Genomic DNA, 20,271 nt, shown 5'->3' with positions numbered 1-20,271 from the left:
TGCCATCCTGGTCTCGAACTCCTGACCTCAAGAGATCTGCCTGCCTCTGCCTCCCAAAGTGCTGGGATTACAGGTGTGAGCCACTGCGCCCAGCCAGTGTTAGGCATCTTTTCATGTGCTTATTGGCCATTTATATATCTTTGGAGAAACATCTGTTCAGTCCTTAGCCCATTTTTGAATTGGATTACTTGTTTTTATTAAATTTTAGGAGTTCTATGTAGTCCAGAATTTAAAATTTTTCATTAAGTCTGATTGGTCTATTTTTTTCTTTTGTTGCCTGTGCTTTGGTATCATATTCAAGAAATCATTGCCAAATCCAGTATCTAGAAGCTTTACCCTGTATTTTCTTCTAAGGGTTTTATAGTTTTAGGTATTACAAGTAAGTCTTTGAGACATTTTTAGTTAATTTTTGTTTGGTGTTAGGTAAGGATGCTTTTGCATTTGAATACCCAGTTTTCCCAGCATTATTTGCTGAAAAGACTGTCCTTTCTGTTTTGAATGTTCTTGGCACCCTTGTCAAAAATTGTTTGACCAAATATGTGAGGGTTTTTTTTCTAGGCTTTCTATTCTGTTCACTTGTTCTGTATGTCTGTCTTTATGCCAGTACCATATACTGTCTTGATCAGTGTAGCTTTGTAGTAAGTTTTGAAATTAGAAGGTGTGAGTCCTGCTGCTCTGTTCTTTTTCAAGATTGTTTTGTGCTCTTCGGGGTTTGTCTATTTTTGAATAAAACAAAGTCATTGGGATATTCACAAGGATTGAGTTGAATCTGTAGATCACTTTGGGTAGTATTGACGTTGTAACAATATTAAGTCTTCCAGTTTGTAAACATAGGATGTGTTTCCATTTATTTGTGACTTCTTTGATTTCTTTCGAAGTATTATAGTTTGCACTGTACAAGTCTTTAGCCTCCTTTGTTAATTCTTATTTTATTCCTAAATACTTTGTTCTTTTTGGTGCTGTTGTAAATGGAATTGTTTTTATAATTTCCTTTTTAGATTGTTCATTGTTAGTATATAGAAATGGCAACTAATTTTTCAGTTTTTCTTTTATCTAACTACATATTTGTGTCTGTTAATCAGGCTCTCTTCTTGCTCCCTGCCTCCGCTTTAGCCTTCCCAGCCTTTGGTAACCACCAATCTACTCTTACTTCTATGAGATCAAATTTTTAAAATTCCACATATGAGTGAGGTCATGTGGCATTTGTCTTTCTATTCCTGGCTTATTTTACTTAATATAATGTTCTCCTGGTTCATCCATATTTTTGCAAATGACGGGATTTCCTTCTTTTTAATGGCTGAGTAGTATTCCCTTGTGAATATATGCTGTATTTTCTTTATCCATTCATCCATTGATGGACACTTAGATTGATTCCATATCTCAGCTTTTGTGAATAATGCTGCAGTAAACATGGTGGTGCAGATATCTCTGACATACTGATTTCATTTCCTTTGGATATATATTTAGTAGTATGATTGCTGGATCATTATGGTATTTCTGTTTTTAATTTTTTCAGGAACCGCCATAACATTTTTCGTAATGGCTGTGGTAATTTACATTCCCACCAACAGTGTGCAAGGGTTCCCTTTTTCTCCACATTTTCACCAACACTTATCTTTTGTCTTTTTGATAATAGACATTCTAATAGGTGTGAGGTGATACCTTACTGAGGTTTTAATTTGCATTTCCTTGATGATTAATGGTGTTGAGCATTTTTTCGTATACTTGTTGGCCATTTATGTGTCTTCTTTTGAGAAATGTCTGTTTCTGCCCTTCACACATTTTTAAAATCCAGGTTGTTTTCTTCCTATTGAGTTGAGTTCCTTATGTATTTTAGATAAACCCCTTATCAGATGTATAGTTTGTAGATATTTTCTCCTGTTCTGTGGGTTGTATGTAATCATGTTAATAATGCTATGGAATTTGGCTTGCTGATACTTCGTTGAGGATTTCTGCATGAATGTTTATAAAGGGATATTAGTCTGTAGTTTCCTTGTACAGTCTTTGTATGGCTTTCGTGTATCAGGGTAATGCTGGCCTCATACAGTGAATTAGGAAGTGTTTCCTCTTCCTCAGTTTTTTGGAAAAGTTTGAGAAGGCTTGGTGTTAGTTTTGTAAAATGTTTAGCAAAATTCAACAGTGAAGGCATGAGTTCCAGGGCTTTTCTCTGTTGGGAGATTTTTGATTACTGATTCAGTCCCCTTACTGGCTATAGGTGTATTCATATTATCTGTTTTTTCAGGATTTAGCCTTGGTAGATTTTGTGTTTCTAGGAGTTTTTCTATTTCATCTAGGTTATCAAATTCATTGGTATACAATTGTTTGTAATGCTGTCTTATAATCCTTTTTGTTTCTATAAAATTGGTAGTAATGTCTTCATTTTCATTTGTGATTTTAGTAATTTGAGCCTTCTCCCTTTTTTTCTTAGTCTGTTTAGCTAAAGGCTTTTCAATTTTGTTGATCTTTTCGGAAAACCAACTTCTGGTTTCATTAATTTTTTTCCTATTGTTTCTTTATTCTCTAATTTGTTAATTTCTGCTCCAGTTTTTATTATTTCCTTCCTTCTGTTAGCTTTGGCTTTAGTTTTTCTTTTTTTTCTTGTTACTTAAGTTTATACTTCTTTTTCTAATAACTTAAGTTTTAAAGTTGTGTTGATTTGAGATCTTTATTTTTTAATATAAATGTTTCTAGTTGCAAATTTACTCCTTAGCACTGCCTTCACTGTGTCCTATGTTTTTGTATGTTGTGTTTTTATTTTCATTCATAAGTATTTTACAATTTCCCTTGTAATTTCTTCTTTGATCCATTTACTTAAATCCTCTGACAGTCACTTTATCCAGAGGGAGAGGAGCTTGCAAAAATGGGGAAGGTGCAACAAGAAAGGCCACCAGCCTCTTTATGCCTCTGTGGTCTGAAGCAGCAATTAGCCCTCAGAGCAGGGATCTCAGATATTTGGAGGACAGGGTCCTTTTTGGACATGCTGGCCCCTACAAGCTGTGTGCAGGTTGTTCCAGGAATTTTTGGACAGCACTCTGCCACAGGGCTAGGGTGGGACCTGGGTAGCTGCTATTGTGCTAAGAGCTGAAATTGACCAAAATTACCACATTTTCTTGTCTAAGCCTTCCCCTGGGAAGATATAAGCCTTCACTAGCCTACAGAGTTCCAAAATAGAAAGATTCTGCGAGTGCAGTTGTTACCTAGATGGAGAGACAGATTTACTCCACCATCTTCCCAGAATCCTGTCTGTTTTATTGATACACAACCATGCTCATTCATGTGTTGTGTATGTTTGCATTTGCACCACAGTGGCAGAGTTGAATGGTTGTAACAGAGACTGTACGGTCTGCAAACCTAAAATACTAGCTATCTGGTCTTTTAAGAAAAACATTGTAGATCTCTACTTTATATTCTTAAGGGTAGCATTAATTTTTGCCATCCTGCATGATTAGCTACCTCAACTGGACAGGGGCGACTTTAGGATTTTTACCTGGGCTTCCTCATTATAATAGTTCTTATTCTGTAGACCCATATCAGCCCCTAAGTGTGTCTATACCTGTTAAACATTTGTAGACTGCAGAAATGACCACTAGGTATGCTCATGGACATATTGGTTTGACTCTGCCAGATCTTGGCCAGGAATCTATTACCCAGCCCCCATGTGTTCTCACTCTGACACGGTCCATGATGCTTTGGGTCAATCAGGTGCCAGTGCCAACTAGCACCGTATATCCAATAGACTTCAAAATATTTGCATATTTTTCTTTCCTTAGTGTACTAAAGTAAATGGTGGTAGCTCCTTTTGGGAGAAGGAATAGGAGAATTATTATTGTGTATAGGCATTCCCAAGAAGAAGGTAATACCTTATCTTCTTGAGAACCTGGCCTTTTCTTCAGTCAATAACAGGGAATATATCATAGTACATCCTATAAGACTTTGGTATAAACTCTGGAGTCTCATTACCTCTCTTGACCTCATCCACAATTATTCTCCCCTGCATTCACTCTCTTTTAGTCACACTGGCCTCTTTTCATGGATTGTATACCAAGAGTGTTCCCTGTGCTTAGAGTCTACCTCCCGCAGATGGCTTATTACTTAGCTGCATACAGATCTTTGCTCAAAATTTATTTTCTTAGAAAGGCCTTGCCTGGTGACTTCTTTCAAAGATAATCTCACTCTGGCCAGGCCTGGTGGCTCATGCCTGTAATCTCAGCACTTTGGGAGGCTGAGGCGGGCGGATCATCTGAGGTTGGGAGTTTGAGACCAGCCTGACCAACATGGAGAAACCCCGTTTCTACTAAAACTACAAAATTAGCCAAGCATAGTGGTGCATGCCTATAATCCCAGCTACTCAGGAAGGCTGAGGCAGGAGAATTGCTTGAACCCAGGAGGTGGAGGTTGAGGTGAGCCGAGATCATGCCACTGCACTCCAGCCTGGGCAACAAGAGCGAAACTCAGTCTCAAAAAAATAAATAAGTAAATCATCATCATCATCATCATCCCACTCTTATCCATCATTCTGTATCCTCTTTCATTTTCTTCATGGTTCTTCTTGCTGTATCATTTTTTGTGCTCGTTTATCTGTCACTCTCCTCCACTAGATCCAGAGGAGCAGAGATTTTTCCCTCCTTTTTTTACTATTTCCTGGATATTTAGAATAGTCTCTAGCACGTAGTAGGTCCTCAATTAATATTTGCTGAATGAAGGAATACTATATTTTCAGGTAATTGAAAATATTTTGTATGAAAAAATCCTTAATTTTTTGTCAGTAAATACCTGCTATTTATAAGTCTTTAGTGTATGTCATTTAATAAAAATATATTAAAATTGATGAACAGTATAACGTGTTTAATTGAAAACTATGATTACTTAACACATAAAATTAATAACACATAAGAACTAAGATTATTAAGTATACTAATGTGTATGCCAAGAAAATGATAGGGAAAGGGATATGATTACTATATGAAGTTTTTTAATGGAAGTACTGTAGATTTTTGAAAGGGCTGACTACTTCCTAATTTCACAACTGTAAATTGAATTGGTATTAATAGAACCTACCTTGTAGACTTACTACTTACCATAGTACATATTGAATATGATAAAGTATGTAAAATACTAGGCAATGCCTGGCACATAGTAAGTACTTAAAAAATTTTAGCTGTCATCACCATTTCATTATATAGGGGTATTTCATGTGATGGTCAAGTTTTCTAAAATTTTTAAGTAGCTTAGTTTCTAAAGTTCTAAGTAGCTCTAAATATAAGTTCATCTTGAGTCAATATTTCTCAATTTTAGATGACGTTAAAAATCTTTAGATTCGCATCCACTCTTGTTTCGACAGAAGTGAGGCAGACTAGAGGCTGATTATCTAAATATGTTGCTAAATGAGTTCATTGTATTTCAGGGTGGCATATTTTTTACTTTGAAGGATATTAATTCATCCTTGGGACTTAATTCTCAAACATGTCAGCACTTTATATCTTTAAAGGTTTAAGAAAAAACTTTGCAGATATAAAAGTTCAAATTGTAATCACCAACTAGTTTAAGTTACATGCTAGGTAGGAGGCAATATGTGGTATCCATTTACATGAAAGAGGGTAGTATGAAAAGTATGTAAATTAGTGTGTATTAGTCTAAAAAATGTATTATCTGTTGATGGTGAACATTTGAAATTTTATTTTCTTGATTGAGCCTTCTCTAATATCCTTTTTTAAACAATTTTTTTTTAAGAAAATTAAAAGATTTTGTATCCTGCTTTTTTCATCAGCTATCATATGTTAGACTTTTTTCTCATTTCTAAACTTTTTACATTATCATGATTTTAAAAGGAACATTGTTTTTCATCCTGTAAGTTTACCCTAATTTGTCAACTATGGCTTTGTGAATATTTATGTAAACAATTTCTTAGTAATATACATAATGCTCAATGAACATTCTGCAGAGATTTTTGCATTCATATATGCTTTTCCCTTAGATTTTAAAAATGGAATTACTGTTAGGGTATACGAGCATTTGTAACACACTGATGTTACCTAATACTTACCCGCTGGCCTCCAAAAAGATTGTACCTGTTGACATTTCTAACAATACTGAGAGTATAAATTTCAGTTTATCCTTTCTTGCCTTGCTCATTATAATTAAAAAAAAAAAAAACTTTGTGAGATTTTTAAAAAAGGATAATTTGATCTTATTTGATTACTAGTAAGGCTGTACATTAAAAATAATTTTTTTGACCATTTTATTTCTTCTACAAATTACTTGTTTGTTTACTTTGCTCATTTTTCTGTTGAGTTGTTCCAGTTGGTCATTAATACTGTTCTAGTATTTTAATATCCTAATTTTCATTAAGTAATTTGTTTTGTTTATTGAAGATTTTTTAATTGAAAAAATCTGTACATTTTAATAATATAGATGTATTTAAACAATTAGTAATTTCATTTTAAGTTTTTACCTAGTAGAAGCTGTTTTAATTTTATAAGTAATATTAAGTACTTGTATATGAAACTTTGTTAAAGCGTATTTTTTTGTAAACTAGGAGCCTTTTGTGGCAGATGAATATATTGAACGTCTTGTATGGAGAACCCCAGGAGGAGGCTCTAGAGGTGGACCTGAAGCTTTTGATCCTAAAAGGTGAAATAAAAAAATTTTTTTCCCCACAGATCTAATCTGGTACACATTAGTGTTAGAATAGAGATGACTGTTGAGATTGCTTTCAGCATTCCTCTACAAGGATTTTAGTTAACATTTGGCCAATAAAAGACAATACAACAGAGCATTAAAAGTTTGAGATTTTTTCTTTGACGTTCTTTTAAAGAAGCAATTTAACTGGTATGCAGGAAGTAATTTTATTGAGTATAAGAATTTGACATTTCTTCTAATGAGTCATAAACTAGAAATGATTATACTTCTAAAATAAAAACATTAAATACATTGTTTTAAATATATTTGTAAATTGGGGGAACAAAGTCACTGAACTCTGGAATGTATATTATTATTTTTATATAGTACATTTGCCTTCTTGACTATTTTAAGTAGGCTATAAAGTGTATTTCTATTCTAGGGGTTTATTGGGGATTCTGGGTGAGGTTTTCATTCACCTCTGAGATGATCCACGAAAAAGTCAATAGTTAAAGCCTGGCTATATTTTCAAATGTCATGTTTGCTTTAAAGCCATGTGGCCTGGACAAAACTATGAGGAAGTTATGAAATTACAGAAAGACTTTATCTTTTGATGAAGAAATTTCTAACAAGATGCTATAGAAAAAATTAACATGATCATTTCAAGCTCAAGGAACTCTTCTTATTAAGACTATGATTATAAGTTAACTGGTCAGTTCCTAAGGATTAATAATAGGTAGATTGATACATATTCAAACTTTCCTCTGTTAGATTATTAGAAGAATTTGTAAATCATATTCAGGAACTCCAGATAATGGATGAAAGGATTCAGAGGAAAGTAGAGAAACTAGAGCAACAATGTCAGAAAGAAGCCAAGGAATTTGCCAAGAAGGTACAAGAGCTGCAGAAAAGCAATCAGGTAAACGTTTTGTTAAGAAATGGGTATTTTATATAGGCTATAATATCTTTATTTTCTTCCAGTTTTAAGCTCTTAAAAAAGTCTAGTCAGATGATAGTAACTGTCAAGATTTCTTTCTACTGCTTTAGTCCCATGGGGTAAAATGTTAATGAATTGTTATCAAGTACTCTTGGCATTGGCTTTCCACAGAGTGTTGGTTTAGGATCACAGTACTCTTCTTAGGATAGAGTGGTATCCAGTTTAGTGTGGTCCTTGATTCTCCTCTAACAATGCGAACTTTGAAGAATGACACTTCAGTAGACCCCTAGTTTTAGGAACTCTTTATTAGCTTGGATATTTAGGTAGTCATTTGCTTTCTCTTTAATCGTAAAACAAAGTAATATGAAAGCAGCTATTGTCTGAATTAGGTTTTCCCTTGAGAAAACCTGGTCTGGGAAGTTTCACAAAAGTCATGAGGGTATGCTCCAATGAGAATTCTAGTGTAACTGTAGGAAAAACTGCCTTGATCTGTTTTGGAGTAAAACCAAATCACTAGATTGGTCCTGGGGCTCAGCAGGCCAAACTTCTTAGTCACTCTTAGGTCCTAGACTTAATCTGGAACCTCTGAATCCCATTCACAGGCTGGGCCTTATCTGGAATTTGATTCCCCCCTTTTTTTTTTAAGACAGAGTTTTACTCTGTCGCCCAGGCTGGAGTGCAGTGGTGTGTTCTTGGCTCACTGCAACCTCCACCTCCCAAGTTCAAGTGATTCTCCTGTCTCAGCCTCCCGAGTAGGTAGGATTACATGCACATGCTACCACACCCAGCTAATTTTTTTGTATTTTTAGTAGAGATTTTGCTATGTTGGCCAGGTTTGTCTTGAACTCCTGACCTCAGGTGATCCGCCTGCCTCGGCCTCCCAAAGTGCTAGGATTACAGGTGTGAGCTACTGCTCCTGGCCTTGATTTCCCTTAGTGTAGTTTGGAATATTGTTTAGCTTTGCTGCCTCTCAGGGATCATTAGTTCTTTAGTGTTAGGGATTAGCAAACTGATTGCTGCTAAAGTTTCAATTTTTTAGATTCCTTTTCTTAAACATATGTGGCTATGAGAAATAAGGAAGTCAGTAATTTAAGATAAGGAATGCATTTTTAAGAGTTAAGGTGACAGTTTCTAAATACTTTTAATGCAGTTTTCCCTTGGTAATAATAATAATAGTTAAGCTAATAAACTCTGGGACAAGTCTGCCTGAGTTTGAGTTTCAGCTCTGCCGCTTATGAACTGTGTAATCTCAAGCAATTTAACCTTTTCATGGCTCAGGTTTTTTTTTAATCTGTAAAGTGTGTTGTTGAGAGAATTATATAAGTAAATACATGTAATATGCTTAGAACAGTGTCTAGTCTAGCACAGAGAAAGTCCTTAATAAATGTTTACAGCTCTTCCCCACCTCAGTTTAAGGTTGGAAAAACGTCCCACACTAGATTATCAGCAATTCCACTGTTGGCAATTACAAGGCATTCATTGCATTCAATTTCCATATGCCACAGGACAATCAGTGTACCCTGGGAGAAGGGAAAGAATATTCTAGAAAGTAATATACCTTTGCCTTAGTAGAATAATTGCTACTTTTCTGTTTTCAAAACTGGGAAAGAACTATTTTACTTTATATATAAACATCACTTTTTAAATATTTAAAATAAATTGGTATATTTTACCACTGACTTTTTTTTTTTTTTTTTGAGGCAGAGTTTTACTCTGTTACCTAGGCTGGACTGCAGTGGTGCAATCTCAGCTCACTGCAACCTCTGCCTCCTGAGTTCAAGCGATTCTCCTGCCTCAGCCTCCCAGCTAGCTGGGGTTGCAGGGCCCACCACCAAACCCAGCTAATATTTGTATTTTTAGTAGAGATTGGGTTTTACCATGTTGTCCAGGCTGGTCTTGAACTCCTGACCTCAAGTGATCTGCCTCCCTCGGCCTCCTACTGACATATTTTTTATTCTTTTCAGTTTAGTAGCAAGAGAGCTCTTTAGATGTCTGGTCCTTTTCATACTTAGCTAATTGTTTTCAGAATCATCATTTGGGGCTAAATGGTGTTGAGTGTTTTTTTAAAACAGGATGAGGAGTAAACAGCTTTTTTTGTTTGCTTTTTTGTTGATTAATGTACTCACGATAAATATTATTTTAATAGTTAATGGTATAAAAGTTTGCAGTTTGGTTAACAGATTTTCAGATCATGTCACACTAATGAGCATGAATTTTGTAGATCATCTCGTATATAACTTCTGTTATCTTTAGTTAGTAGCAATAAGAGTAGTAGTTTAGATTATAAACTGAGCACACTGATTGTATTTTATGCTTATGCACATTTTTCCTAGGTTGCCTTCCAACATTTCCAAGAACTAGATGAGCACATTAGCTATGTAGCAACTAAAGTCTGTCACCTTGGAGACCAGTTAGAGGGGGTAAACACACCCAGACAACGGGCAGTGGAGGCTCAGAAATTGATGAAATACTTTAATGAGTTTCTAGATGGAGAATTGAAATCTGATGTTTTTACAAATTCTGAAAAGGTAAGTGCTGTCAGAGGATAAAACCAAATCACAGCATTAATAACAGTGCCCTAATTATGAGCTGCAATAATTGCTTTCCAGAGTTAGACTTCAAATCACTGAGTAGCTGACTTATTAAAAGTTTTTATTGTTCTGAAATGTAAACTAATACAGTTTCTTGTAGATTGCTGATGAAGTGTTAATATTGAGATGTTTAATTGGGTTTCCTGGCATTTTTTTAATGAAATTTTTTGTGGCTTAAAAATGCTGTGGTAGCTGTGTTCATAAATATCTCTTTACCATAGATTTCTTTCAATATTAACAGAATTTCTATAGTTTTTAAATAGTGACAGTCCATTGGGTGGTGGTGGGGTGGTCTGACCTAAATCATTGATAAGCTGAGATGCTTTTCTGTAAAGCAATAAGGAATTCAGAACTTCTGGTTTTTATTACTTGAATAAAGATCTCTTATAAAGAATTAAAGCAGTTTGGACCAAGGAGAGCTGAAAAAAATTCTGAATTAATTGTTTATGTTAATCCTTTTCATAGCACTAGTCACTTACTCCTGGTCTAAGGGTACATGGTATTGGCTGCTCTACAATCTTGAAAGAAGGTAATTTAGCTCACTTTCTTCCCCTCAGGGGAAAAAAAATCAAAATGTGCAAGAAAATGGACATTCTTATGGATCTTGTATGTACATAGCAACATTGTCCACTCATATTGAATACAGTCTTCCTGAATTATTCCAGATTTACTCCATAGAATATTTCAGATAGTGGAATGTAAAAGCTAAGTATTATTGACACTCACTTTGAATTAAGCAACACTTTTTTTTAATAGAACTCTATAGGGTTATAGAATTTATAATTTTTAGAGTTCTTTGGAAAATAGTTATGTGTGTACAGATAATTCCTCTAAAGAAAAGGTGTTTTTGAAAAATTTAGTTTTTCAAGTACAGGTGGTTTTTTGGTTATAAGAATGAGTTCTTTAGTGTTAAATTCTGAGATTTTAGTGTACCTGTCACCCAAACATTGTACACTGTATCCAATATGTAGTCTTGTACCCCTTATTCCCCTCTCAACTTCCGCCTTTAGAGCCCCCAAAGTCCATTATATCACTGTGTATGTTTTTGTGTCCTCATAGCTTAGCTCCCGCTTATAAATGAGAGCATATGGTATTTGGTTTTCCATTCCTGAGTAACTTCATTTAGAGTAATGGCCTCCCGCTCTATCCAAGTTGCTGCAAAAGACATTATTTTGTTCCTTTTTGTGGCTGAGTAGTTTTCCATGGTGTAAACGTACCATATTTATCTTTATCTGCTCGTTGGTTGATGGGCACTTAGGTTGGTTCCATATCTTTGCAGTTGAATTAATTTTTGGCCTAGTTCTACCAGTTAGCCATCCTTAAGAACTCATATAGTATTAGATTGCCAATTATTAGATAAACTCCTAGCTGTCTCAATTTCTGGACTCTGTACCAATCACCTTCCCAATGGAAAGAAAAGGAAAAAGCACCCACAGAGCTAGACCAGTGTGTGATTGTGGGAGGAATTAGAATGGGATAAGATATCAACACATCATATTCTTTTCCTTCTTTCCCCCTAGTCATTTTTGTTTTTTTAATTGTTCTTTTTTGGCATCTTGGCTGGGTGTGGTGGCTCAGGCCTGCAATCCCAGCACTTTAGGAGGCCAAGGCAGGATGATTGCTTGGGCTTAGGAGTTTGAAACCAGCCCGGGCAACATGGTGAAACCGCATCTCTACCAAAAAAAAAAAATTAGCTGACCGTTGTGGCACATGTCCATAGATCCTAGCACTCAGGAGGCTGAGGCAGGAGGATTGCTTGAGCCCCAGAGGTTGAGGCTGCAGTGAGCTGTGACTGCCACACTGCACTCCAGCCTGGGTGACAGACAGACCCTGTCTCAAGAAAAAAAAGAATCTTCTCATATTCTGAAAACAAAAACAAAAACAAAAAAAACCCTATTATGTGTTTACCTCTGTCCTTACACATATGTTGGTTTTGTTTTTTTTTCTTTTTTTTCTTTTTTTTTTTTTTCAGACGGAGTCTCGCTCTGTCCCCCAGGCTGGAGTGCAGTGGCGCAATCTCGGCTCACTGCAACCTCCGCCTCCTGGGTTCATGCCATTCTCCTGCCTCAGCCTCCTGAGTAGCTGGGACCACAGGCGCCTGCCACCATACCCGGCTAATTTTTTGTATTTTTAGTAGAGATGGGGTTTCACCATGTTAGCCAGGATGGTCTCCATCTACTGACCTTGTGATCCGCCCACCTCGGCCTCCCAAAGTGCTGGGATTACAGGCATGAGCCACCGCACCTGGTCTGTTTTTCTTTTTTACCTAGAATGGCAGCTTATTGTTCCTCATGTGGATAATACTTGATGACTGTGATTATCTTTAACACTATTAGCAAGGGTAGTCTCTCACCTCACCCAAATGTCAATAACTATTAGAATATAGTTTTGCCAGCTTTTGTTACTTATTGTTGTAGTATGTTTTAACTGACTAAATGTTGTATATTGTAACCTTAAGAGATATCTGTGCTTTACACAATTTTTATAAAATAATTTGCTATGGAAATTCAATATAAACAAGTGCCATTTACCCCTATACTAGTTAGTACATTAAACAAAGTTTGCAATAGCACAATGATGATGATGACTTCTTAAAAGAACAAAAACTCCTTATGGAAGCATAGAGCAGGCTGTGTGCCAAGTATATTATTTCTGAAGTGGGTATTAAGGGGGTATTGGTGAGGAGAAAATGATGGATTTTGCTAATACAACTAAATGGCATGGTGAGGACAGATACTGCAGTGATATTTGTGCCCATATACAACAGGACAGAGTGAGTGTTTGGTAGTTGAAAATGATAGTGACCTGCTGACTAGGAGAAAAGGGATGACTGAAGCAGAAATGCTATATTCACTATAATTTGGAGCAAGAAGGGAGAAGAGGCTCTGCTGTTGTTATTCACAGTTGCTTGTCAGAGTTCACATGCCTACTTAGAAAAATCTATATTGGGCAGGGCGTGGTGTCTCAAGCCTGTAATCCCAGCACTTTGGAAAGCCAAGATGGGCAGATCACTTGAGGCCAGGTGTTCAAGACCAGCCTGGCTAACATGGCGAAACCCCGTCTCTACTAAAAAAATACCAAAATTAGCGGGTGTGGTGGTGCATGCCTATAATCCCAGCTACTTGGGAGGCTGAGGCATGAGCATTGCTTGAACCCAGGAGGTGGAGATTGTAGTGAGCCAAGATCATGCCACCGCACTCCAGTCTGAGTGACCGAGCAAGACTCTGTCTCAAAAAAAAGAGAAAATAAAAAAAATCTATATTGATGTTCTTAGCTCTTCCTTCGTATTTATGAGTCTCACTGTTTTTTCAAATGTAAAAGAAAATGAATCTTCATAAAATGAATTATTAAAATTGTGCCAAAGTAAAACTGAGAACTAGTTTGAGATTTAAAGAATAAATGAACATTGTAAACTCCCCTGAACTGTTGTGTAAATAAGCACAGATATCTGCATTAAAGAATTTTAGAACTCTTGCCTAAGTTCCTTAGTTCCACAACTTGAATAAATTTACACATTTCTGGCTGGGCTCGGTGGCTCACGCCTGTAATCCCAGCACTTTGGGAGGCCGAGGTGGGCGGATCACCTAAGGTCAGGAGTTCAAGACCAGCCTGACCAATATAAAGAAACCCCGTGTCTACTAAAAATACAAAAATTAGCCGGGCATGGTGGCATGCGCCTGTAATCCCAGCTACTCGGGAGGCTGAGACAGGAGAATCACTTGAACCCAGGAGGCGGAGGTTGCAGTGAGCAGATATCGCGCCATTGCACTCCAGCCTTAAGAGATATCTGTGCTTTACACACAAGAGATATCTAGGCCACAAGATATCTGTGGCCTTAAGAGATATCTGGGCCACAAGAGTGAAACTCTGTCTCAAAAAAAAAAAAAAAGACAGAAAGAAAAGAAATATACACATTTCTATATTATATTTCATCATGGGGCTTTACATTAAACTTTATATTTTCTTTTAGAACAAGTGTTATAAATTCATATGATCAGTAATGACAGGCATTTAACTTACAGTAGGATATATGTGGCAGTATGCTCTAAATTATTTTTATAAATCTCGTTTATCCTTTTCGGGTTCATAAACTTAGAATTCTGAGATTTACACCTGGCTTTCAGCAAGCAATGATTTAAATTTCTTTGGAATAAACTTGAACTACAGGTTTCATTGGGAAGGGATTGTGGCATCAAAAAAATCACAGAATTTCAGTACCAGAAAGCTAAATGTTTATGTTATTATTGACTCATTATTGGTAACACCCCAAATGTATTCTTGTTGCTCATAAAGTTTTATTTGTTGTGGATTTTTAAAGGAAATTTTTTTAGGGAAGGGACTGTGGGCACATGCAGGGAGATATTACTAATTTCAGATATATAATTATTTTTTGATATGCCTAAAAGTTTTTTAAATTATTGCTTTTATTTATTTTTTCATAGATAAAGGAAGCAGCAGACATCATTCAGAAGTTGCACCTAATTGCCCAAGAGTTACCTTTTGATAGGCAAGTTCATTTCTCAAGAGCTAATTTGAATATGTGGTATAATTTATAAAATAAAATAGTATCTTTTCCTGTATGATTTTCTTTGCCCATTAATTAAACGGAAATTTATTGAGCACTTGCTGGTTCATTTACTTGCTAGTTTATTCACTTTGTACAAGATGCAGTGTAAAATAGTTTATTGAAAAAATACAGTCTCTTCTTAATATCTAAATTTAATGATAGGCCTTGAAATAATTTCAGTCCCTGTCTCCTGAAAAAAAATTTGATGAAGGAGAATTTTGAAATCGACTGAGGTTAAATTTGGATTTTCATACTTTGGACTTTGAGAACCAGGTAGGGGATAGAGAGAACACTTTTCCTATTTCCTGATGAAGGTTCTTAGGCTTTTGGAGGCCTTGGACACCTTTGAAAAGCTGATGAACGCTATCACCTTTCTTCAGGAAATTAAGATACACACAGATTATTGTATACAATTTCATGGAGTTTTAGACTCTAGCCTATCCACAGAACTCTTCCTAGGGACTTCAGGTTAAGAACCCCTTTTTTTTAAAATGCAAGGCCCCAGAGCCATTACTAAGTTAGATTTCATCCTAAAATAAACTATCCACTGAGAAGGAAATTTTTTCATGATTTCTTCTAGTGTATGGAATGTCAGACTCTTTAATAAACTGTTGGTAAAATAGTACTTCCTCCATGTGAATATTTGAAAGAAATATGATTTAATATATTATAAATGATACATAGTAATAGACATATAATATGTTATTTTTGTTCATACTTGAAGATCTTCAGGAACAGGTAAAATATGGATATATTGCTATACTTAGCTTAACCATTATCTCCCAAACATGTAATGAATTCCCCCTAAAAATGTATCTATTTTATTCTCAACTCTGATTATCATGAAGAATTAGCAATAATGATCATCTATCATTCTTAATAATAATCTGGTAGTTGCCCAGCATTATGATTTAACTTACTGTAATACTTTTTAAAGTCACCCACCAAAACTTCTCTTTAACTTTATGTCATTTCAGAATTGGACTATTTACTTAAATGGGTAAAATGTCTAGCTCAAAATAGGCTCATAATAATTATTGACTGCATCCCCCTACCCTGTCTTCATCCTATTTTTCCACTCCAGAACACACATGCATATATACATATATATATGAATATGAATATGTGTGTGTGTGTGTGTGTGTGTGTGTGTGTGTGTATATATATATATATATATATATATATGTCTAATTAGGATATATATTCAACTCCAAGGCTTGGTGAAGAGGCCAAAACAAAACCATAAGAGAAGTATGTACCTGAGTGGTGGTGAATATGAGTGTGTGTGTGTGTGTGTGTGTGTGTGTGTGTATATATATGTGGAGTTGAATATATATCCTAAATAGATTCAATTTTTTCACACAGATTAATATGGCCTTATATGTGATCTGATCTACTGTGACTTTGATACATCATTTTTGTATAACACTCTAGATTTTTGTTTCCTTCTTCATTTGTCTTTGGCATCTCTTTTGCCAGCCACTCTCCTCTCTCTTCAAACAATTGCACACAATCTTAAAATATTTCTTTTTCATGCTATGCATTTCACTTAGATATTTGAGATTTGAAAAAATTCTACTGCGTGGTATTTTAGTTTTTTAATTTGTAAAGATTGAATGGCTACTCTGCTAGGCACATTGCTGGGTCTTATCATTTGTCATTAATATATCATCATATAATATATTATTTGATCATCTTTTTCTTTTGAATAATAATGATGGAACTTTATTTTTAAAAATACCAACCATGGGAATGGGGAGGGAGACAAATAATCAAGTGTATTTAAAATGCCAGCAAATAAAAGTAAGAACAGTAAGTCAGTTTTGGGACTGGCTGGGTTGTTAGTGTCTTATGCAGAGCAGTTGATTCTTTAAAAAGAGAATTGATTTTCAATGTGAATTTCCTAAATGAGAACCAGCTACCTACCTACATTAAGTTTTATCACCTGGCATGCTTCCTATCAGAATTCTCTCCTCTGATTTTGTCTTTTTTCTTTTTACAATAACCTTTTAACTTTATAATGGTTTTGGATTTACAGAAAAGTTGCAAAGATAGTACAGATGGTTCTCGTATCTCCTGCACCCAGTTTCCCATTTGGTTAGCATCTTACATTGCCATAGGATGTTTATCACAACTAACAAACCTCATGGTTGGTTTTTGTCTTTCAGATTTTCAGAAGTTAAATCCAAAATTGCAAGTAAGTGATGTATTTATTTTACCTTTTTTTTAATAAGTAAAAAAACTACTTGTGTAAAAATAAAACAGCAAAAGGAGAAAAAGCAGGAACAATGTCATCTTCCTACCCTAGTAGGCTACTGCATAGAAGATCCCTGAGTTTGATTTCTCTTCCCTCAAAACAACCATTACCAGTTTTTTTGGATATTCTTGCAGAATAATCTATGGATATACAAGCATAAGACATAAATTCTATATATGTGTGTGTGTACATATGTATGTGTATGTATAGATATTTATATGTACTTCTATCCTCATTTATTTTTAAATAATTGCTACCATACTATATAAATAGCTTTATACCTTGCATTTTTAATTTAATAGTGCATTTTGGAAATCCTGTGCTTTCCATACATCTATCTCTGAATAAGATTCTCTCTTTTTTTTTTTAAGATTATATAAGCATTTCAGTATCTATTTAACTCCTTACATGATTAGTTTGGTTCTTGCCAGTCTTGGATTTTAGTTTAGGTTAGATCATTCTAGGTTTTTGAAAAGACCACTAAATTTGCAGGTTCTGTGGTAGCTGGGGTCACTATTTAGAGTAGGCCACTGCATAGAAGATTCAAAGATTCATCTATATTCCCAAAAAGTCTTAGAATAAGGATGACACAGCTAGTTAGACTTCCTGGGAATATTTTTGATCACAATAGATTGGTCTGAAGTTCAGGTGTTCGTTAAGAACCATACTAGCCTCAAGAATATAGTGAATAGGGCCGGACATGGTGGTTCGCACCTGTAATCCCAGCACTTTGGGAGGCCGAGGCGGGTGGATCACCTGAGGTCAGGAGTTCGAGACCAGCTTGGCCAACATAGTGAAACCCCGTCTCTATTAAAAATACAAAAATTAGCTGGGTGTGGTAATGGGTGTCTATAATCCTAGCTACTCAGGAGGCTGAGGCAGGAGAATCGCTTGAACCCAGCAGGTGGAGGTTGCAGTGAGCCGAGATCGCGCCACTGCACTTTGACTGGGTGACACAGAGAAACTCTGTCTCGAAAAAAAAAAAAAAAAGAAAATGAAAAAAATATAAATACTGCATATTATCAGGATGAGATTTGGTGTTCAGTCATCAGTCCACTATTGTTCTAGGTAGAGGCATCAGAACTCTAGTAAAGAGTTCTGTAGTCCTCTTCACCCTTTCCATGTGTAGGATTTTTCATGTGTGTTGCTATCAGAAATAGCATCTGGAGGATTTTTTCCAGTCAGCTACTGGTTTAAGTAACAATGGCATATGACAGTCAGACCCTGGAAAGCTCAGTAATTTTGCCAGTTTGGAAGTTTTTTGTCTTGAAAATATAGATTTATATGCCACAGTATATTACAGGGGCTGGGTTCACGGCCTATAATCTCATTTGTTTTTGTAATTCCTTCAAAAGAAAGCTATATTCATAGTCATTATATTTGTAAATAATGTAGATACTCTTAAATAACGTGGATGCCTTGTATGCCTCAGTGTAGCTGAATGACTTTATTTTTAGGTAAATACCATGATTTAGAATGCCAGCTGATTCAGGAGTTTACCAGTGCTCAAAGAAGAGGTGAAATCTCCAGAATGAGAGAAGTAGCAGCAGTTTTACTTCATTTTAAGGTAAATAGTAGGAATTAAAAATGAATAGTGTTCAAGGCTATGGAAATTACGTAAGTTCTATATATTATAGTCTCTGATTTCCCCCATTCATTATGTAACTATCACAGTGATAATTTTCACTGTTTTGAGTAATTTGTACATTTGATACTCTGTAAATGGTATTGAATGTTATATATTTAATATTTAAGGTTTTATATTCAATAATATTAATATTGAATTAAAATTAATTGATCAATTAAATATTGATGAATTTTTATACTTTGATAAAGAAAATCATATTGTCTGCCTTTTTGCTTCCACATATTATAATATAGGTGAAAAGAAAGAAAACGTGACCGTAAATATCTGTAGGATATAGGAACCAGAGAGTAGATGGAACATGACTAGTAAGAGACTTAAATCCAGGGGACCTCAGGAGGTAATACAAAAGAATTTTGTATTACGGAATTGTTTACCTAGAATTTGAACTCGGGAGAGAATCCCTGTGTAGGAGTATATTTCTGCAAAGAAAGTGCTTAAAGAAATGGTTCTTCCTTCAATCTGTTTCTTTGATTTGTATCAGATTAGGGAAGGGGAAGCTATTTGTTGGACTTTTCATTTTGGTAAAATCTGAATGAGTATTGAGAATGGCTCTTGAGACAGTAGTGCACTTTATATTGCTTTCCTTACTGGTTTTTATGTATGATTTATTAATAGGCAAAAATCTCATTATGGTGAGCTTAATGACAAATCAGTTTGTTTTAAACACATTTTATTAAAATACATTTAGTTTAAAAAGTAAATTTCCAAACTACCAGCTGAATACAACTGTCCAGATTCTTGCAAGGAAAACCAAATGCTAGAGAAGGCCAGGCGCAATGGCTCACTCCTGTAATCCTAGTATTTTGGGAGGCCGAGGCGGGTGGATCAGTTTAGCTCAGGAGTTCGAGATCAGCTTAGGCAACATGGTGAGACCCTGTCTCTACAGAAAATACAAAAATTAGCCGGAGGGGAGGCATGTGCCTGTAGTCCCAGCTACTCGGGAGGCTACAGCAGGAGGATCGCATGAGCCTGGGAGGCAGAGGTTGTAGTTAGCCAAGATGACACCATTGCATTCCAGCCTGGGTGACAGGAGTGAAATCCTGTCTCAAAAAAAAAAAAAGAAATATATATATACACATATATATATATATACACACACACACACACACACACACACACGTATATATACACACTTTAATATATATAAATATATTTATATGTATATAAAACACATACATATATATATGTAAAACCTTTTCCCAAGACCTTGACTCTCTGTGTATGTGTGTGTTTGTGTGTATGTGTGTGGGTGGGTGTGAGTGGGTGTGTTTTGGAGTTGAAGGAGATGGCTAGATGATCATAGGACAAAAATTACTCTAAAGAACTCAGTTACATACTTCATCTTTCTTGTTTTAGTCTAAAGTTCAACAAGGATATGTACCAACTGATAAATTTTATCATAGAAAGTGACTAGGGAGACGATACCTTTATCAAGTTACTGGTTTTCTGCAGTTAATTTTATTTAAGTCCAACAGGTGTTGCTATTGGCCATTTACTGGTAAATAGTCATAGCTTTATGACATATAACACTTCTTTTTTTGAAATAATAATTATTATAATTGAATCAGAATAATAACAATGTGTTTCTTCCTTGTAGGGTTATTCCCATTGTGTTGATGTTTATATAAAGCAGTGCCAGGAGGTAACATAACA

The 20,271-nt window shown here is 35.4% G+C and overlaps 1 protein-coding gene across 3 annotated transcripts in view; it reads left to right on the top strand.

Moving 5' to 3' along the window:
- Nucleotides 1-20,271, top strand: part of EXOC5 (exocyst complex component 5) — a 68,399-nt gene that overhangs the window by 14,658 nt on the left and 33,470 nt on the right. For all 3 annotated transcript variants that reach the window (NM_006544.4, XM_005267272.4, XM_047430882.1), the window contains exons 2-8: nt 6,536-6,630; nt 7,390-7,537; nt 9,889-10,083; nt 14,589-14,653; nt 16,882-16,910; nt 18,428-18,537; nt 20,216-20,260. In NM_006544.4, coding sequence (NP_006535.1) covers nt 6,536-6,630; nt 7,390-7,537; nt 9,889-10,083; nt 14,589-14,653; nt 16,882-16,910; nt 18,428-18,537; nt 20,216-20,260 — 687 coding nt within the window. The remainder of the gene's footprint in view (nt 1-6,535; nt 6,631-7,389; nt 7,538-9,888; nt 10,084-14,588; nt 14,654-16,881; nt 16,911-18,427; nt 18,538-20,215; nt 20,261-20,271) is intronic.

The sequence above is a fragment of the Homo sapiens genome, chromosome 14 (genome assembly GCF_000001405.40).
Source record: "Homo sapiens chromosome 14, GRCh38.p14 Primary Assembly".
Lineage (NCBI taxonomy): Eukaryota > Metazoa > Chordata > Mammalia > Primates > Hominidae > Homo > Homo sapiens.
Note: the sequence above shows the minus strand (reverse complement) of the source record. Positions and strands in the feature narration are given on the sequence as shown.